Below are 20,729 nucleotides of genomic sequence, written 5' to 3' on the forward strand. Positions count from 1 at the left end.
CTTGAACCCAGGAGGTAGAGGTTGCAGTGAGTCAAGATCGTGCCACTGCATTCCAGACTGGGCCACAGAGTGAGACTCCGTCTCAAAAAAAAAAAAGAAAAAAAGAGAGAAGGTGACATAATAAGCTTATGCAACAGAAGGGCCATTTGAAATATGTCCATGTGAGTAAGTAAAACCCTCAGTGTTCAAATGATTGAGGGGAAACCTAGGAAGACAGGCCAGTTGGCTTGGGTTTTCCAGCACAAGACCCTTGCAAAGTTAACTATTCTAAAAGGTCAAAAGTAAGTACAGCCTCTGATGTAAACAGCCATGGGTGATCTCAGCCCAAAACAAACAGCAATGGGATACATGACACCCCTGGCACCTGAAACCCTCTTCTTCCTCCTCTCATGTGGCCGCTTTGCTAACAGCTGTCAGGAGATACCTTTCCCCGACATTTGCCGGACTCTTACACTTCATGTCCGCTAACGAGAATTCCATTTGATCAAGATGGAATTTGAAAACGGAACCTGAAGTTTCAAAAGCTGATAGAATAGTCAGCTGGAGGTGGTCGATGATGGAAACGTGCCAGGAAAACTCAACAGAACAGGAGTGGAGCAGAAGTGAGTGGTTTACAGGAAAACAGCCTGTAATACCAGGCATTGTTTGCACACAAAATTTAAAGAAAGCCCCAGACACAGGACAAAGAGAAGACATCAAACATGAGTCCTGAGAAGAAACCCCCTGGTGCTAGGCCCAGATGGCAACTGCACCACACACACAGCCTGCACGTGGGAAATGATTCGGGGTCATGCCACAGCATCTGGAAGTTTGGGTTTTGTTGGTTTGGTTTTTTTCCCCTAGAAACAGTAGAATTATAAAGCAGAACAACTACTGTGTCCTGAAGCACCTATTAAAAATGTCCCAAAAGGTTTATTTATTTTCTTTTTTTTTTGTTGTTTTTTGAGACATAATCTGGCTCTGTCACCCAGGCTGGAGTGCAATGGCAAGATCTTAGCTCACTGCAACCTCCACCTCCCGGGTTCAAGCAATTCTCCTGCCTCAGCCTCTCGAGTAGCTGGGATTACAGGCATGCACCACCACACTCGGCTAATTTTTTTTTGTATTTTTAATAGAGATGGGGTTTCGCCATGTTGGCCAGGCTGGTCTTGAACTCTTGACCTCAACTGATCCACCCATCTCGGCCTCTCAGAGTGCTGGGATTACAGGCGTGACCCACCGTGCCCAGCCCCAAAAGATTTTTATGTCGTCTTTAGACTTCGTTACACCCAAAGATCTAATGCACTTGTAAATAGGACCACACCTACAAGAAAAGTACCTGGTATCTAAAAGCCTAACCATTTAAAGAATGTTCACAGCATGGCTGTCTGTCTACTGAAACTTAAGGATTTAAGAATAAATCCTTAAAAGCTATCTTGGAACAACTGTGTCTGGTAATCACAGGACTTAAGCATCAAAAAAAGAAAGAAGAATATAAGCTAAATACAGTTTATATTTTGCACAAATAAAATTAAGGAAGAAGTATGTTTCTTATCTTCGAAGGCAGAAATATCTCAACACAGTTTCCGTCTGCCACACCCAGCTACAGGGAAAGGAGGTTCACCCTGACTGAACTTGGCTCTCATGCTTCCTTTTAAGCACCTGGCTCTCATGCTTCCTTTTAAGCACCTGGCTCTCATGCTTCCTTTTAAGCACCTCATGTTTTCACTTAGGGGGCAGCCCTTCCTGTCCCACCATGACTGACCAATTACACTTGACCTAAAACTCATTCATACCACCACCCATACAGTGAATCATGGATTCGTATGTTTGCATCTGTAGAAAGAAACTTTTCTCTCTAAGCCAAGGGACTTCAGCCTCTGCAAGTGGGGAGTGGAGGCAGACTGACTTTTCTCTGCACGGACTTGGTGGGTTGCTCCTTTGAGGGTGGTGGCCAGGGACAGGGAAGGTGGAAGTGCCCACGGCTCCCTTCTCTTTTCTAGCAGGGCTCCTGCACCTTCAGTGAAGCCGGAGAACTGGGGTTTGGTCCAGGGGATGGCGCTGCCACCTGCACATGCTCCCGGCAGGCCTGCGGCCTACCCTGAAATCTCCCTCCTTCACCCCACATATCATCTCTGTGTCAGGACATGCACATGGATGTGTGTGTATGCATGCATATTCTATATGATTTTAATTAATTTTGTGATCATTTTGTAGTGTATTTAGTGGACCTTCTAAGGCTGACTTCCACATCTTCAAGGAAGTATCTGGTCAAGAATATTCTTGACGCAGCTTGTACAGCCTACATATCGGCTGTAACTAGGCAGGGCCCAGTTTTCACGCACCTTCCCAGGATGCCATGGCAAATCGTGAGCACTGATGAACGTCTGCTAAATTAGTGAAGATGGTGGAGGTGTCCTGGGTACAGGACTTAGAGCCACAAAGGGGCCATGGAAAGTCAGCGCTAGGGAATAGACAGAGCAAATGCAGCATCTCCTCTGCTTAGTGCAAGGGAAGTTCAGAGGCAAGCTGGAGGTCATGCAGTCAGGCGGAAGACAGAACTCTTGAATAGAATCCAGGTCTGCAGAATCCAATGTTCTTTTCACTCTACCCAGCTGAAGGCTAAAATATATCTGATTTCCATCTCCAGGCGAGGAGATGAGCTTAATTAAACTGTAGCTTGAGGGATTTAATTTAGGGAGCATGACATTTCCAACGACAAGGGAGGTGAAGCACCTTGGCGGCTTATCACTTGGAGGTGATGAACTGACTTCTCCAACGATGTTGAAGCGCAGCAGCGACCTGGGGATGGTCTCTGTCCAGGGGACTTAAAAAGTCCTTGTACTTTAATTTCTTAAAAGACAAATATCATATAGCTTAAAAGTTCCATTTTATAACTAGCAAGTTGCACATAAGAGTATCTTTGTCTGACAGCAGCAGGGTGTCTTAGTCCCTTCAGGTTACTGTAAGAAAATACCACAGACTGGGTGGCTTAAACCCCAGACAGGGATTTCCCATAGGTCTGGGGCCAGGCGGTGTGAGATCAGGGAGCCAGCGTGGTCTCTGGCTCCCTGGTCTCCCCCTAACGCATTACACTGGGGGTGAGGATTTCAGCATCTGAATTGGGGGAGGGAAACAGTCCAAACACAAGAGCAATGAATAAAAATGGATGGGATTAGAGGAAAAACTGAGAAGCAATAGGGAACTGGATGATACCTGGGATGTTAAGCCTGATGGAGAAGCTGATTCTCATGTTTCTGATGTGGTGGGTCTTGGGGCCGCCATTTTGGTGGCAGGAAGGAGAGGTAGCTTTTGTGACAAGTTGGGTTTGAGGCCATCGTGGGACACCCAAGTAGAAGGCTCGGGGTCTCCATGCACTGTGGCTGTGAGCTGGAGGTGCGGTCAGGTGTCATCAGAGCAGAGAAGCAGTTGATTACACAGAAGGAGGAGCGCTGAGAAGGGATCCCGGCAGCCCTGGCATTTCTGTGCGGTGAGCAGACGAGGTCTATGGATGGAGCTCTAGGTACAGTTTGGGCAGGAAGGGAACACAGTAGGAGGCAGTGTCAGGAGCTAGGTTAGGTTTTCAAGAGGGAAGGAGAAGGGCCCGCGGCTTGTGATGCTCTCGTGTTCCTCCCCAGGTCTCACTTCCCGGTGATGCTTCCACCTTTGGCTCCTCCCTGCTGCAAATCCTGTCCCCGTGGCACTTGCCCACCATTTCTTCTCAGCAGCTGGGATCAACAGCACGTCCCATCGGGAAGCAGACAGAACAGTCACAGCAGGGAAGGAGCCAGCCCCTTTCCAATCCTGCACACCGGGACCTCCTCCAGGCCACAGGCAGAGTGCTGCCCGTGCCTACTTGGGATCACATTTCGTAACCGATTTTACCTTTTAAACTATGATGTGTCTGTTTTAAATTATGTGCTTCATTGGAACTAGTGAGCTTTCCAAATATTACTATATCATCTCTAAGGAATAAAGCTTTCCCTTTTGCTTAGTGAAATACAACATTTGGAAGGAAGTCACTGAAGGGTACTTTCAGGGCTCCCAGAAGCGGTCCTGGAATTACATGGAAGCACAGAAAGTACAGCAGCTGCTCACAACTATTCATCAATTATAAAGCCATGTATGATCTGAATCTCATCACCAAAACCAGGCTTTTTCATAGGAGGTTTTTTCCTATGCATTAATTTTGTAATATGAAGTTCAATTTTCACATGGTGAGACATCAAAACTTCAAGGGGGCCTTAAACTTTGTTTTTAATTTTGATTGGCAGTGCTCATATCTAAGGTTTAAGTTCTGTTTGACTTCATGTTCCTTGTCAGACAGTGATCTGTAAATAAGTACCACAATGTTGTCATGTTGGATACATATACACTATTAGATGTTTGTTTAAACATGAAACTTTTAAGTACTGCTGTCAAAATGACTGCTGAGGTATGTGTGTATTTTGTTATTAATTAGTACTTTTGTTTATATTATTCATCAATCCATCCATCTGTCCATCCATCCCTATTTATCAATCTATCCATCCCTCCCTTCCTCCTGCTCTCCCTTCCTTCATCCAAACATCCACCTACCTACTAGTAAGCTACATATGGTGCTGCATTCCTCTAAGTAATAGTGCTGAGGTGGAGGTCAGTATCCCTTGTGCACCGCAGAGCTACTGTTTTACTGAATCGATAGTGCTCTGAAAATCAAACTATAAAACCATTATTGATATAAACATGTTTATAACAAAACCCTTTAGAGTTACAAGCTAGGTAAATGAATGAACTACACCCCTAAATTGATTCCTTCTCCTATAGAGAACAGCCTTTGAAAAAGTTATTTAACGACTTGGTTGGGGGGTGGGCAGGAAAGCTTCCTAACGAATTCTCTCTGTGTCATTTTACTCAATAAAAGTACATTACGGGCACTCTTAGCATGCATATTAAAGTGTATGTATGTAAATTAAGTGGTGAGCAAAAGACTTCAAGACAGCTCAAAAAACCTTCCTGATTTCCTCTTTTAATGGTACAGATGCCGCGTCCACCAATCTGTCAGAAACCAGTGAAAACCCAGCAAGGCCCTGAAAGGTGCTGACTGTCTTAAAGTCAAAAACAAACCGCAAGTTTCTAGATGGTCACTAGAATCATTTTCTTTTTCCACATCCTCTGAGTAAAACATGTGAAATCAATTCATCTTACGTAGCCTTCTGCATGAGACTCATGATCCGCAAGTGTGACGGGAGGCCCCTATCGGTTTTGTGTGTTTAGAGGGACATTATGACTTCAGACAGACTCGGGAAGATTAGCCATGTACGGGATTAAAATGCTCTAACCTGTAGAGCAGCAAGTTGTGTTTATTTTCAACAGCACTTTCGTTATGGAAAAACCACATTTAGGTGCCTTAGATGTGACTTGCTTGTGGTATGCTTGCTGTATAATATGACTCCACACATTGTCAGGACAGCAAAAGCACAGCGATGTTTGCCTGCTTTTGAGAGAAGCTACAGAGGGGGCTTCCCCAAACAGGATTATCACAGCATAAAGAGAGTGCCTTTGCTGGCCTGTGTGAGTGATTTTTCCATGTCATCTCCAAATGTGCCATGTAGAAGAAGCTGCCATTTATAATGGGAACTGATAAACACAGAGAAAAAAGCCTAAGGAATTCATTGGACCTGGAGGGGATTAAAAGACTTCGTGATTAAATGAGCTGGTGGATGAGCCAATGAGCTGTCTGTGTGGTGAGCACGTGGCAGCTGGCAATGCAGAGGCCTCTCTTCGGTCCTCTCCTTGGTCCTTTCCATACTGACACCCGTTGTGCATGGCCCAGCAACCTACTCAACAGGGGATGAGAGGCCTACAAAGCCAATGCCCTTCAGGATGGATTTATTTTCTGGTTTTCACAGGGATGCCCTCAGTTCTCCTTCCTGCAAATATAGTAACTGCTGACTCCTGAAATAAAAGCCGGTGTTTATAGCTGTGGTTGCAAAGTCAGTGTTTCCCAAACAAAGATGTGTTGCAGTACCAGGTGAGGCTTATGTTGTTTTCACTGGCCTCCCATGCCCATATTAACGTTCAATTCTAAATTGTCTAGTAGTAGAATGTTCATGAGGTAAGGGGTTTCTAGAATGTTCTGTGACACAGCAGTCCAGAGAAATTTTCCAGAAAAAGGAGATTCCTCCCATTAAATGAGGAACTGGGGACCTGCCATGTACAATTAGCACAGAAATGTTTCCAGAAGTGCTGCCATGGATAACTGTGTAGTTGAAACCTCACTGAGGCCTCTCAGGCATGGACACCTATCTTCAGAGCAAATCGATGAAGGTCCCGCAAAGCAGCACTCCGAGGAATCTATTTTGGGGACGTTTTCACAAAGAGTAGCTGAATGTGGCATGACTCACGTCAATGCAAATGCAATTCATTTGCCTTGTTTTCTTGAACTATTCTGAATCTTACCTGTAAATAACGACAGATGAGGCAGATTTCACCTTAAATGCCTATCCTCTTGCAGGAATGGTTGCTTACATGGCATTGAGGCTACTGCTTAATTCAGAACTGAAGGGACCAGCTCTGTGAGGGCACCCTCCCTAGGCCCCTCGGCAATGGGCTCTGCTGACCACTCATGACAAAATGGCGCCCAGGGCACCTGTGAGGGCAACACAGGGCCTGGTCCATCCCTCTCTCCTTTCCTTTAGATAGAGAGGGGCGTGAGCATATTCTCAATCCTGGAAAACAGAGGTGGAAGGCATCTTGCCTTCCTTTCTCTAACCTGAGATGCTGATGGAGCCTGGGCTAGAAGACTGACCTGGCTGTGGGGGCTAGAGAAGAGCGAGAATGTGCTGGATGTGGGGCCTGGCCTGAGGGTGGAAATTACTGGGGCTACTGACACAGTACTTGTCTGATACTGTGTATGACTAACTCAGTGTTTCTCAACCATTTCATTCATGATCACCCCCAAAAAAGCTTTTCCAGTTATTTTTCCCCAACAGTCTATCCCCATAACATGTTATAATAACACAGATACACTATATTTTTCTGTATGTGTATTGGTGCTTGATACATTAAAAAAAAGTAAGGTTTCATTTTCACCTCCCCAAAGCCAATTTTTATACCTTGGGACAAAATGCATGGACTATTCTATTCAATTTTACTCAGTTGAACAGTTTTTGGAGAACCTACTGAAACCACTCTCAAGGAAGGGTCCCACTGACCCAGGAGAAGAAGGCTTCACAGAGTAGGAAAGTAGCTGAAGATTTCAGAGAAAAACACTTTCACTACAGAGAAGAATCCCCCCACCCCCACCCCCGCTGCCTGGAAGATCACAAATGAACTGTAACCTTCCAAAGTCAACACACAACATTTCATAACTATGACGTACTTGGGGAGCTGTTCAATTGCATGGAATAATTCATATATTGAAGAATGTGGAGAACAAACAAATGAATCTCTGACAAATAACACTATTCCAGGTAGCAGTCTTTAAATATGCCCTCCCACCAACTTCAAATTTTATAAATGAATGAATCAATGATATCCAGTGCTTGGCAGATGGGACATGCTCCGTCGCTATCAGCTATTATTATGATAATGGTGATCCATTCTGTAGACGTTACAAAAAATTCACTATGAAGTTTAAAATTACTCAAGCTCGTGTTGGGACTGGGACTAGCACCTTATATTCTAGTGACTATGCCACTAAATATCTCAATTACTAGCCAGGATATTGATAAACTGCAAATTAATGGCATTTGTTTCTTCCTGTTTTTTTGTGAGATTCATCAGAAATGCATATTTATATTAGAAGCTGGGCTTTAATCAATAGCTATCAGCAATTCAAGCATGTTAGACATATTTTTAGGAAATTAACACCTACATAAAGTACTGTCTTGGGCAGGCAGAAGACAGAAAGCAGAGCAGACAGCTCTCCAGCCTCCCTGGAGTTCATGGTCTCCAAGGCAGGAAACATGCACTGGGGAATCCCTGCTAATACAGGCCCACTGTGGGGAGCCCTGTTTGAGGCACACAGTCCTCTGGAGCAGGGACAGCAGTCCATTCACCAGGATTTGGAAGGTGGATTTGAAGGAGTGGGTTTAGGGAAGATGACTCAGGGATTTCTGGTCAGAGGCAGGTCATGAAAGACAGGCATAATCGCACATGATGTATGTAGCCACTGGGAAATGGAAGGTGTGTGTGGGGTGAGAAATGCAGGCAGAGGGAAGAGCTTAGCAGAGACAGCTACTGGCTGCACTCCAGTGTGGAGAGGCTTGTCAGGATGAGATGGACATGCAGAAAAATAAACATTGTACTGGGGGCAGGCAGAAGACAAGGCCCCAAAAGGAAACCAGAAGTAATGAGTGAGGTAGGGAGCAAGGGGTCAGGCTGAGAGGTCTGTGCTTTACGAGGTGGGTGGGGAGGGAAGCTGGGGAGGGTGAGATGAGGTCAGAGCAGGGCAACTGGGCATATCAGTGTTTTAGAAACATCAAAGAAGCAAAACCACTGATTTACCAAGAAACTCTGACCATTGTTAAAGGCAGTGCCCCCCTACCCTAGCAGTATTGTTTATGTCTAGTAAGATTATTCGAGAGCATGACTGCTTAATTTTTTTTTTTTTTTTTTTTTTTGGAAATCCAAAATACAACTCATCCACTGAAATACCTGGCTTAGTGTCAAATGTTTTATTCTGCAATGGTGGCTTAATTCAGATGGGTTGGTTACATGCTACCTGCTATTAAGATGGCCTCATGCAAACTGTCATTCTTTGAAACTGCTGGTATGTGGAGATTGCACAACTTCATGTACAAATGCACATGGAACCAGAGAAACCACTTAGCAGTTACACTGGTACAACAACACCATACAAATGAATTACAAAGCAGCCCTCAAGAGATGTTACACACGTGATAACAAGTAGTCACTGCTGGCCTGTCATTTTAGCAATTTATAGTTTGCTTGATATATGTGTCTGTGTGTATGAATCTAAAGAATGAGAAAAAATTAATTGTGTAGTGATTCATTTATCAGGAGTCATACTTAATAAAATGGAACAAAAACATCACAAACAGGTAAAGCATGGAGATTCTGTTGGGTTAATGGTCTTTGTAATTGCAAAGGAAAATGATGTTACTATCACTTTTGGGTGTTCAATTCAGCTTATCTGAAGGGGCTGGAAAAAGATCAAGTAATTACTAACCATACTTGACTTTGAAATGCGTTCACACACCTATCCAGTTGATGTGGGGAGAAGAGAGTGTAGGAGGTACCGTGCTTCCTGTCTAGGGAGATAAAGTCTCCCCTTTCATTCTATTAGCTATGGGAATACCAGATAATTATGTTTTTTAAATACTACAAGTATAATATTGTTTGTTTGTTTTTGAGACAGGGTCTCACTCTGTCGCCCAGGCTCGGGTGCAGTGGTGCAATCACAGCTCACTGCAGCCTTGACACCCCCAGGCTCAGGTGACCTTCCCACCTTTGCCTCCCAAGTAGCTGGGACTACCGGGAAGCACCACCATGCCCGGCTAATTTCTTTTTGTAGTTTTTGTAGAGATGGGGTTTTGCCCTTTGCCCGGGCTAGTCTTGAACTCCTGGGCTCTAGCAATCAAGCTACCTTGGCCTCGCTAAGTGCTGGGATTTCAGGTGTGAGCCACTGCACCCAGCTAATATTGTTAGATTATGTATTCATAAGCCTATGAACTATTGCATAGTCCACTTGTAAATGACAACTACAAAAATCTATGAATGGCTGCGTAATTCATCCTATAATCATGACGACTGTTTACTACAGTCGTTATTTTGAGCATATATATAAGAGAAAAACAGTACGTATTCAACGTTTCTCTTTATGTTGGGATATGCACTGGAACTTCCTTCTCATAAAAAGAACAGAACGTGAACAGAAGGCTCTTACAAGATGGAAGAGCCCACTCTCTAGTCATGGGGTCACTTATGGGACAAGTACAAAGATTAAAACCAGCACACACTGCCAAAAACTATCAAAGATAGGCAAGCTGTTGATCCGCATTTATTGGATGTCTACTGAATAAATAATGAGGGCATTCTACATTCCGAGGTCGTGAACAGCCCATATTCCCACTTGGGAACACAACCAGAAACCGTAGTTCCTAGTCATTTCATTGTTCAGGTGTGGTTTCTCAGTATTAATACAGGGAGGTAGGGAAGAGGAAAGGAAGATGTGGGGGTGAAGGGAAAGATTGTCCCCCTCCTCGCTCCTATTTAGGAATAAATCAGGTGGGAGATGTGCTTCCGTAACCAGCTGGACAGTCTGTGTCCCTGAGAGGTGCCCAGAGGGTCCCAGTTTGCACCAACCTCTCCTGAGTCATGCTGGAACCTTCTTTCTAGAGAGCTGTGTTTGGAGAACGGCACACAGAGCCCCTTGACTCCTGGGCCTCCAGCATCTCCCAGGAAGACCTCCAACAGTATGTGATTAAACTATAGACATGCAGCTCAAATAATACTCTGGATGAGCCACAGAACATGTCTTCTTTTCTACAGAAAACGTATTTTCTTAACCCTTGAATAAGCTAGGGATACAAGATCCATTCAAAGTTTAAGGCTCGGTAATAGATTTGAAGATACACGAGGAGGAAAAGGTTACTGATAGGGCTTCAATTTCCACATAGCAACTAACTCTTAAGAAACTATCACTTGCTGAATTCTGGTGTAGTAAAACAGCTACACACAGAAATAGAGCTAAAGAAAGAAAAATAGTTAACATTATCTTAAAAGACTTAAAATATCCCTTCCTTTTCAAACTAGGTTCTATATAAGAGACGTGATCTCAGCTCACTGCAACCTCCTCCTCCTGGGTTCAAGTGATTCTCCCACCTCAGCCCCCCTGCCCCCAAACCAAAAAAAGAAAAAACAAAAAACAAAAAACAAACTCGGGCTTCTCATTCTCATTAGCCACTTCTTCTGGGGACAGCTCTAGGGGTAAAGGGTCCCACCGTTCCCTACCTGCTGGGTAATCAGATCCCTTCAAAAAGATGCTTTCGAGTTTTTGTCCAGTTTTTCTCACTGTTCTTAAGGGGAGAGTTAGCGCAGCTTGCTTAGGTCCTATCACCAGAAGGAGACTTGGTTCGAGTTTTACATGTTAATATTTGATTGGAGTAGGATTCACCTTAGTGTTGGAAGTAAGCCAGAGCCTTGGGGTTTATGTCCCCCTCTCCACTGGCAAGACATCTACCCCGGTATTATTTCCTGACTGATCCATCTGTTTCACAACAATCTGAAATGCCACCTTGATCCTCGCATAAATCCCCAAACATAACGAGGCTGAATTCACTGGTTATTCTCCCTATTCTAGTTTGGGTGAGGGCAAGTCCGAGAATGTGTACACAAGCATTGTGGAGGCCAGATCGGGTGAGGAAGGTACAAGGAAGGTACAACATGTCCAGGGGTGGGAGAGTTCACGGGCTTTATTGCAAATTAGCCCAGGCCAAACACTTTTAAAAAGCGGATTCCTCAACTACAGCAATGTTATGCAATGCAAGGTGGGGAGCCATACATACAAACAGCACTAGTGCTACTTATGGGTCACGTGTTCTCTGTATTCAATACACCATTCTCCTCCAATCGCAGTGAAGAGAAACAATGCCCAAATTTGCCAATAATCTGTGGTACTACATTAAATGAGATGCTAAACATTTAGCAAGGTTTTAGCCCAAAACATCCAATAATTATTAGTAATAATTACTAGTTAAAAGCTAAAAGATATTTTGAAAATTGACACAATTGTAAAAGATAACTGGTAATGCAGGACCAACGAACTTGATGCACTAGTGTATGGGGGAATAGTGACTAGATTGTATTTTTACTGGCTAGTTGTCTGAAACCTTGCTATCAAAAAGACTCAGTGAACACAGTATCATTACAAAAAATGCACAGCTGGTCACCAGCCAACCTAATGAAATGCCCCGAGTAGGGTAGTGGCATTTGTACTAATAGTGGCTACTAGTTCTTTTAAAAAGTGTTTCAAGGAACTACGAGGCATGGATTTTTTTGAGGCATTTGAGTGACAGTCCAGAAATAAAAAAATACATGTTTTAGAGCAGTGGTCCCCAGCATTTTGGCACCAGGAACCGGTTTCGTAGAGGACAATTTTTCCTAGATAGGTGGGGGGTGAAAGGGGCTGGTTTTGGGATGAAACTGTTCCACCTCAGATCATCAGGCATTAGATTCTCATACGGAGCACACAACTCAGATCCCCTGCATGTACAGTTCACACTAGGGTTCAGGCTCCTGTGAGAATCTAATGTGGCCTCTGATCAGACAGGAGGCGGAGCTCAGGTGGTAATGCTGGCTCACTCGCCGCTCACTTCCTGCTGTGCGCCCTGCTTCCTAACGGGCCATGGAGTACTGGTCCATGGCCAGGGGATTGGGGACTCCTGTTTTAGAGGATGCAATAAAACATATATGGAGACTGCAATTTTTTGGTTTACAACTTCGGGGAAGTTAAAGGGCCAAAACCAGCACTGCTATAAAGATTAAGCTATTAGATGTTTTTTGCTGGAAAGTATTTCCAGAGACATGAGCTTTTTCCATAACACATATCAATCACACACACATAAACACACACACGTGTGCGCACATGCATGCGCACACACACACAGTGCTGATTAAATGAAGTTTTGTTACATTTTCCATTGTCATACAAGTATCTGCCTTTAAAAGGGAAATAGTGGACCAGGGATTCATCCATCATATTTTCTCCACACAAAGCACAGGGCACAGTGCCATCCTGGAATTTCTCCAGCCAAGCATAAAGAAGATATCTGAAGGCAAGACATATGAAGAGTAATTATGAGAGGACAGAACTTCATTCTGTTCTGAGATTTGCTGTTTTTCTCTAGCATTTAGTGAAATTATTTCTTCACTTCTCTGCATTTGACAGAGTGCAGAAGGGCCTCATGCCTCTAATTTGTGTTTTCCCAGAGACCCTCATGCCCCAGGAATGGCTCAGCTCTGGCGTAATTCTGCAGAACAGTACAGGGGCCCGTGTGCATGCAACCTGTGTCGAGGTCTCTGCAGGGCTGTGAACTAGAAATCAACACTGCAGTGCCCCAAGTTCCCCAAGAATGACGAGCAGCTCTCCATCAAAGGAGGACAGATTCTGCCGCTGACTGTAAGCCCTGGAAACCAGTCTGGAGGAACGCAGGTGGCTGTGGGTCTGCCAAGAAGCCAGAACACTTACTGAGCTGTGACCTGGCCAAAGCACAGCTCCACCTCCTATCAAAGCTGATGATGTACCCAAGGGGAGAGGGAGAGCCTGAAGGTGAAAAAGACAGCCTCCCCATTGACATCACTGCAGCTGTAGTGGCAGGAGATGGAGACAAGGATCACGAGACTAAGTGTCAGTCAGGGTTTGTGAAATAACAGTACAGAAGAGGAATGCCTTCTCTATTTGTGGGGAACACCACGGGAAAAGAAAAAGAAGGTGATATGGTTTGGCTGTGTCCCTACCCAAATCTCATCTTGAATTGTAGCTCCCACAATTCCCACATGTTATGGGAGGGACTCGGTGGAAGGTAATTGAATCAGGGGGGTAGGTCTTTCTCATGCTGTTCTCGTGATAGTGAGTAAGTCTCATGAGATGTGATGGTTTTGTAAGGGAGAGATTCCCTGCATAAGCTCTCTTTTTGCCCACTGCCATCCATGTAAGACATGACTTGCTGCTCCTTGCCTTCCGCCATGATTGTGAGGCCTCCCCAGTCATGTGGAACTGTGAGTCCGTTAAACCTCTTTCCTGTATAAATTACCCAGTTTTGGGTATGTCTTTATTAGAAGCGTGAAAACAGACTAATATAGAAGGCCACACTATAGCTGGGAATGTAGGGTTTCTTTGCCAAAGTTTATAAGAACTGAAAATCAAAGAGCAAGAAATAACTACTAAATTCTAATAAGAAATGACATTGGCTATTATTAAAACTAAATGACAGTGTGTGCTCCTAAATCACTCGGTATTCCTGGCATCTTGCAATCTGATAAAATGGCACGTACACGAAAGGTTCAATAAAAGCTTACAGAGGGGAATTGAGTCCCTTGGTGTGAATCTGTTTCTTTACCTACAGAATCAGTGACTGGATTCTGTGTCTATTGGCTTCTGCTTCCGTATATCGTGCATTGATAGCCTCTGATTTGGGTGTGGGGACAGGGGAGGAGTCTGTGTTCTCAGGCTGGGAATGAGACCTTGAAGTCAACATAGCAGCTGCTACCTACAGCCTCAATTCAGGAAGGGAAGAAACGTACAAATGAGGACAAGGGAGGTTTTCAGAAGAGAGGGCCTAAGAAGTGGATGGATAAAGGAGGTTGCTGGCTGCAGACGGCATGTGAGGAGAGAGAATCCTCGTGCAATGAGAAGCTTCAAGGTTGGCTGAGGGACTCCAGGGTGCCTGGAGGGACAGGAGCAGGCTGAAGGAAAATGTGGGAAAATGGAGTGTTGGCCGTGTTTTCAGAGGTGCTCATGACTTCCAGGCAGTGCAGATTCATGAGCCTGGGGCTCAGACAAGCAGCAGGGTCCCCAAGAGTAGATTTAAGGTAGGAGAACCTCTATTGAGACTCCTAGTAAGTGTGGCCTGGCTGAACTTTTACATAAGATTTTCCCAAGGCCCCTTTCCAGACCACTGGGCCCAGGACTCTACCCATGTCCAGAAACCAAGATTTGAGTCAGGCACAGTGACAACAAGTAGCAGATAAGATCACCCAGGGGGATGGGACAGAGTGAGATGAACACCAAAACAACACCTGCACACACACAGATGCTGACATTTGGGGATTGCTGAACCGAGTTCCTGGGTGAGAGGAAGTGCAGAGAGAAACAGTGGGAGCAGTGGATGAGGGCGGATGGGCATGGTGCAGCCAGCAGAGGGAGACGTTGCAGAGGAGCGTGGGAAACGGATGTCTGTGGTTTCAGCAGTCAGGAGCGGCAGATGCCAGGATGAAATGCCCCCCGAGGCGAGGTGAGGAGGCGAGGATGCAGTCAGAAACAGGGATTGTGGCACCTGGCAGCTAATGTGGGAACAAGACTGAGGGACACCGAGGTCATCTGGGAGAGCAAGATGCCCCAAGGCTAGTGTTCTGGACACGGACGTAAGGCTACTCGGGCTGGATAAAGGCAGGACCTGAGAACCAGGGGCCGGGCACCTCAGGGTTGTTTAGAAACAAGGATGCCACGTGCGCTCGGCAGGCAGAGGGCCTCTTATTAGTGCTGGGTGCTGGGCATTCAGAGAAGGGGGCAGGGGAGTAATGATGGGGTGTTGGGGAGAAGCAGATGGGGCCTCCATGGACTGAGGAACATGCCACAGTGGCATGAGGGTTATTAGAGCTGAAGACAGTAAGCATCAAGTACAGGAACAGAAGGCTTCTGCACTCCCTTCCCTTTCTAAGGAAAGCCTTCCAGAAGAATTCAGCCCTCAGCCCTCATACATCCAATGCTCAGGAGTTTCACAACCAGGGAAGTGTGAGTCTTATCACCAAAGATAAGAAGTCAGCACCTGTCACACCTAGATGAGAAATCGCCCCAAAAGATGTTGTTATAAAACTATCTTATCCACCATCTAGTCTCCTAACGGCCCACTTAGTTTTCCTAAAAGTTTTCCTAAAAGTTTATTCTTCTGTGTGTCCTTCTGCCTCTCTCCCATCCATGTTAAGATGACATACAAATCCGAAATTCTAACTGCCTCCTTGAGTCACATTTTTCTGTGAACTCCTTCGTTGTATGTAAATACAAATCTATCTTTACTCTTGATAGTCTGTCTTTTGTTAGTCTGATTTACAGGCCCCCAATCACTGCACCTAAGAGGGTAGAGGAAACACATTTCCTCTGACAGTGAAATTTGGTTTAAGCAAGTGCCCTCGTGCCAGGAAATTCAGAAGGGACACCAAGCCCAAAGGCAAGTTCAATGAAAGAAAAGAAGTGTAAGGACAGTAACCGTGAAGGTCCTTGTTATTACGGTTTTTTAAATAACGAAAGAAGGGAGAAAGGGAAATGAAATAATACCAAGGACAAGTGAGCAGAGGCATGCCTATTTTGTTCAGCGATGATGGGTGACAGGAGGAGGTGGCCTTGAGGCTGGAGCAATGAGGACCCAGGCTGTGGGGTCCTGAGGCCCACAGAGGGTGGCAAACAATGGCAGGTGACGGTCCTCACCCTCTGGAGCAGCTCCAGTGTGGCTGTGCCCGTAACTCAGTGTTGCAGGGTAAGAAGCTGATTCAAGAACATCTAATCTCCCCAAAACCAGAGGTCCAGCAAAGCTCAGCTGGTCACCAAATATTAACTTTTTTTTTTTTTGGAGAAGGAGTCTTGCTCTGTCACCCAGGCTGGAGTGCAATGGCACAATCTCGGCTCACTGCACCTCTGCCTCCCGGGTTCAGGCGATTCTCCTGCCTCAGCCTCCCGAGTAGCTGGGATTACAGGTGTGCACCACCATACTTAGCTGATTTTTGTATTTTTAGTAGAGATGAGGTTTCACCATGTTGGCCAGGCAGGTCTCAAACTCCTGACCTCAAGTAATCCACCCACCTTGGCCTCCCAAAGTGCTGGGATTACAGGCGTGAGCCATCACGCCTGGCCCAAATATTAACTTTAAATTGGACATAAGTAGTATACAGCTATTTGTTCTCTATTATTCTCGGAGGAAAAGAAGTTCCAGTTACAGAGGTCAGCTCACACTGACAGCCTGCCTGCTCCTGTCTGCATTCTTTTGGGACATATGCAATGTACGATAAGGATAAGTTAAGATGAAACTTTGTGTAAATGTCACATGCAGTTACAGGTATTAGAAAAATACATGTATTTTTAACTAGCTACATCTTTTTTTCAGTTTTTTTAAATCTAGGAAAGAGTCACAGAGATGCAAAAAGTTCTTCAAATTTGGTACAAGTTGATATGAATATATGCCCAGCGACAGTTTTCTTAATTTCACTTTCTCCTAAGCCTCCTATAACTTTTGACATTACTTATTTTTTTCTAATTGAACTATAAGTTCCCTGAAGGAAATCACATTGGAATCACACCTGGCACTTCCTCCTCCCTTACTGCCTATTTCTAATCTGTCACCCAGTACTCCACTGAGCTCTAAAACACAGACATGGCCAATGTGTCCTTCTAAGAATTTCCAGTGAGCTCAAATGCCTATTGTACCATGTGTAAACTTTTCTGCTTGGTTTCCAAAGTCCTCACGATTGATTCTGTGTTGGCTGCACTCCTGTTGGACTTGTTCTGTTCAGCACTAATCCCACCCTCTGTTCTTCTCTGTAAAAACGCTGAGCATTTATCTCAGGCCCTGTGCCATCCCCAGTTCCCCTATGATGCTCTAATTTGTGCCTGAGTGAACTTTTGGTCTGACTGTCACACTAGGCAGAGCTGCCTCCCCCAACATTGCACTGTAGAGATGGTCCAGCGTACAGCAGAGTTGAAAGAATTTCACAGAACACCTGTATCCCTAAGTCACCACCCAGAATGTACTCTCTATTTTTTTTTTTTCCTTTGAGACAGAGTCTTGCTCTGTCACCCAGGCTGGAGGGCAGTGGCATGATCTCGGCTCACTGAAACTTCCACCTCCTAGGCTCAGGTGATTCTCCCACCTCAGCCTCCTAAGTAGCTGAGACTACAGGCAGGCGCCACCACACCTGGCAAATTTATCATCATCATCATTATTATATTTTGTAGAGACACGGTTTCACTATGTTTCCCAGGCTAGTCTTTAACTCCTGAGCTCAAGTGATCCTCCCACCTTGGACTCCCAAAGTGCTGGGATTACAGGCATGAACCACCACCTGTAAGACTGTATTCTTAACAAGGTGATAGCATAATAGTTTGGGCTATGAGTAGAAATGTCTAAAGGCTGGTTGAAATGAGCCCAGTCTACCTATTTATGTGGACTTAGCCCTTATTCATTAAGAAATATGCAGGTTTCCACGAAAAAGAGTAGAATCTACCACGTCCCTTGTTTATTAATTGTGAATATTATCTCACAACTTCAACCCTGGTATTATACAAAAAAAGACAGATACCGAATATACACAAAACTTAGGCTGGCAAAATGAGTCTACTCTATCTGTTTATGCAGTTTAACATGTATAACTTTCTTGAAAATAGAACAGAAAAACAAAAACAAAAATAATTTTTTTAAAACCTGAAATTCAGCTCCTAAAACAACACTAACAAGTACAAGAAAACTAAAACACGCAAAGTAGTGATGGCTAGGCTGTAAAAAATTGATTTCCAGCCGGAACAGTGGCTCACTCCTGTAATCCCAGCACTTTGGGAGGCCGAGGTGGGCAGATCACCTGAAGTCAGGAATTCAAGACCAGCCTGGCCAACATGGTGAAACCCCATCTCTACTAAAAATAAAAAAATTAGCCGGGCGTGGTGGCGTGTGCCTGTAATCCCAGCTACTTGGGAGGCTGAGACAGGAGAATCACTTGAACCCAGGAGACAGAGGTTGCAGTGAGCCGAGATCGTGCCACTGCACTCCAGCCTATGCAACAGAGCAAGACTGTGTCTCAAAAAAAAAAAAAAAAAACAAAACTGATTTCCGATTTCTGGTTTTACTTGTAATAAATATCAACCCTAGAAGTGATATGTAAGCAATGCCATCATTTTTGTTTCACAACAATGATGGCATTTTTGTGGCTGGGAACAGAGAGCCCTGGGGTGCCTCCCAGCTTGGTCGCTCAAGTCCCCACCAAGCAATGAGTGTGCTCACACTCGCAAGTCTCAGGACCTGGCGTTCGGCACATGGAGGCCCTCTACCCACTGGGTCTCTGGCCTTCAGGGGATGTGTTGGCAGATGTCGCACCCTGCCTGGCACACAGTGGGCGGGTGCTTTCACTCGATGGGTGCTCATTATCCTGAAGGTGGTTTCTGGGGGGCTTCTGAAGGTGGCCTTATGTTTGCTTGATATTTTTTAGAACAAAATAATGATACATGAATAACTTAGAAAATATTCTCAGTGAAAACTTGATTCTTTAATGTCAGCTCTGTTGGACACTTTCTCCTAGTAAGATGGGAATTAATATTTAACATAATTAATAACCCTTTGATCCTACTTGTTTTTGACTACTTTCCTATGACTACTACTACTACTATGCCTAATTAACCTGGTGACACCTATGGCATGATCAATTCCCTAAGGCAATTCCCTAAGAGATTCAGAAGTCTCTTCAGTGACTGATGATTTAATGGAATGCCCTTGAACTCTGGAGGCATGCTGCTCCTGTGAGCTCACACCCACACTGCGGGCAAGAAGCAGCAGCAGGGCCTGACTGAAGAGCTCCAAGATCGTCCACACGGCCCCTGGCCACTGCCTCCTGTATTCCTGACACAAATGCCAAGTACAAAACCAGGGCTGCTTCCCTGACAGGAGCTTGGGAAAAACTTCCTTTAGTATTACAATATGCACATCACAGGAGGAAGACCCACAATGTGTCACTGTCTCTAAGTAAGAAGCATGAGAGGAAACATTTCATTTCTGCAAGAGAAATATATCTGTAAGTAAATGTAGATTAATAATAAGGAAAATGTTTAGAACTTTCTAAAAGCTAAATGACTTTTAAAAAATGCAACTGCTCATTTTTCTTTGACAAGTCTAAAACAAACATTGTCAATGAGAACACCAAGATGTTAAAACACAATTCATTCCATGGGCCTCTTTGCAGGGTACCTTGTGAGAGAAATTCCTCCTCATGAGGGCCCTTGCTCTGTGGGTTTCACCATAACTGGTCCCATGCAATGGCAGCATGTGGTTTCCACATACACTTTGCTTCCATATACATTTTAAAACATGGCTAATTTTTTGTGGAGACAGGGTCTGGCTATGTTGACCTGGCTGGTCTCAAGCTACTGGGCTCAAGCATCCTCCTGCCTCAGCATCCCAAAGTGCTGGGATTACAGGTGTGAGCTGCCACACCCGGCTGCGCATGGTGGTGTGTGCCTATGGTCCCAGCTACTTGGGAGGCAGAGGCAGAAGGATTGCTGACGCCCAGGAAATGGAGGTTGCAGTGAACTACGATTGTGCTACCACCGCCTATGGCCTGGACAACAAAGGGGACCCTATCTGAAAAACAAAAGGAAAACAAAACCAAAACCAAAAAACCCCACATGAAACACCATGTTTCCATTAACAGAGTACCTTGCAAAACAAGGACTGCCTGTACTTGAAATTCCGTTTAATTGCCTTAGCTATAGGAACAGCTCATGTTAACAAGGCAAATATTTCACCTTGTCTTTATCAGTTTGTAAATACAGAACTGAATGCAAGTGCCAACATACTCTGATCGCTTCTGGGACATGGTTATGGAGTGCAGCACCTTCACTTTTCTAGTGAACAATAACTCAGGTTAAACAACAACAACAAAAATGGTGTTTCTGGGAAGAAGGCTTTATAGCCTGAAGCTATGGAATAATTCTTCCACAAGGGGGAAATTCTAAGGAAAAATGAACATGTTGCAGAGGAATTTGTAACAGGGTGCCAAGCATGCAGACATACACATGTCCAGACATAAGAAGCAGATACATGTTCCCACTGGGAGCTGTTCCAGCCGCACCTGGAGGCTCAGCCTTGACTCTCTGACTTACTAGCTGGGAGGTCTCAGGCACGTCCCACGTTAAGCAATTGCAGTCAAGTTGAATTCAATAATGAGACTTAAATCAAGAATGAGATTTCAATCAGCCCAGGTATGTGTGTTGCTAAGAATGCCCCACTGTCTTTCAATGACTGTTTATAGCTATGGCATCATAAAAACTA

General features: G+C 44.7%; 1 protein-coding gene across 6 annotated transcripts in view, besides 3 other annotated features; it reads right to left on the minus strand.

Annotated features, from left to right (window-relative positions):
• The window catches only part of PUDP (pseudouridine 5'-phosphatase), a 442,316-nt gene that overhangs the window by 348,488 nt on the left and 73,099 nt on the right, over positions 1–20,729 (minus strand). The window contains exon 4 of one of the 6 annotated variants that reach the window (NM_001178135.2): positions 3,261–3,498. The exons of the other annotated variants lie outside the window; for them this stretch is intronic. Coding sequence (NP_001171606.1) covers positions 3,382–3,498 — 117 coding nt within the window. The 3' untranslated portion in view covers positions 3,261–3,381. Of the gene's footprint in view, positions 1–3,260; positions 3,499–20,729 lie in introns of those variants that run through there. 6 annotated transcript variants of the gene reach the window in all.
• Positions 3,545–4,045: an enhancer, noted in NCBI's record as "H3K4me1 hESC enhancer chrX:6975911-6976411 (GRCh37/hg19 assembly coordinates)". NCBI's record gives its function as "activates a minimal SCP1, AML or CMV promoter by ChIP-STARR-seq in primed H9 embryonic stem cells {active_cell/tissue: H9 hESC(primed)}" and the evidence as "EXISTENCE:reporter gene assay evidence [ECO:0000049][PMID:30033119]".
• Positions 4,850–4,999: an enhancer, noted in NCBI's record as "active region_29382". NCBI's record gives its function as "activates an Ori minimal core promoter by ATAC-STARR-seq in GM12878 lymphoblastoid cells {active_cell/tissue: GM12878}" and the evidence as "EXISTENCE:reporter gene assay evidence [ECO:0000049][PMID:35858748]".
• Positions 14,546–15,046: an enhancer, noted in NCBI's record as "H3K4me1 hESC enhancer chrX:6986912-6987412 (GRCh37/hg19 assembly coordinates)". NCBI's record gives its function as "activates a minimal SCP1, AML or CMV promoter by ChIP-STARR-seq in naive H9 embryonic stem cells {active_cell/tissue: H9 hESC(naive)}" and the evidence as "EXISTENCE:reporter gene assay evidence [ECO:0000049][PMID:30033119]".

This window comes from Homo sapiens, chromosome X (genome assembly GCF_000001405.40).
Source record: "Homo sapiens chromosome X, GRCh38.p14 Primary Assembly".
In the NCBI taxonomy this organism is placed as follows: Eukaryota; Metazoa; Chordata; class Mammalia; order Primates; family Hominidae; genus Homo; species Homo sapiens.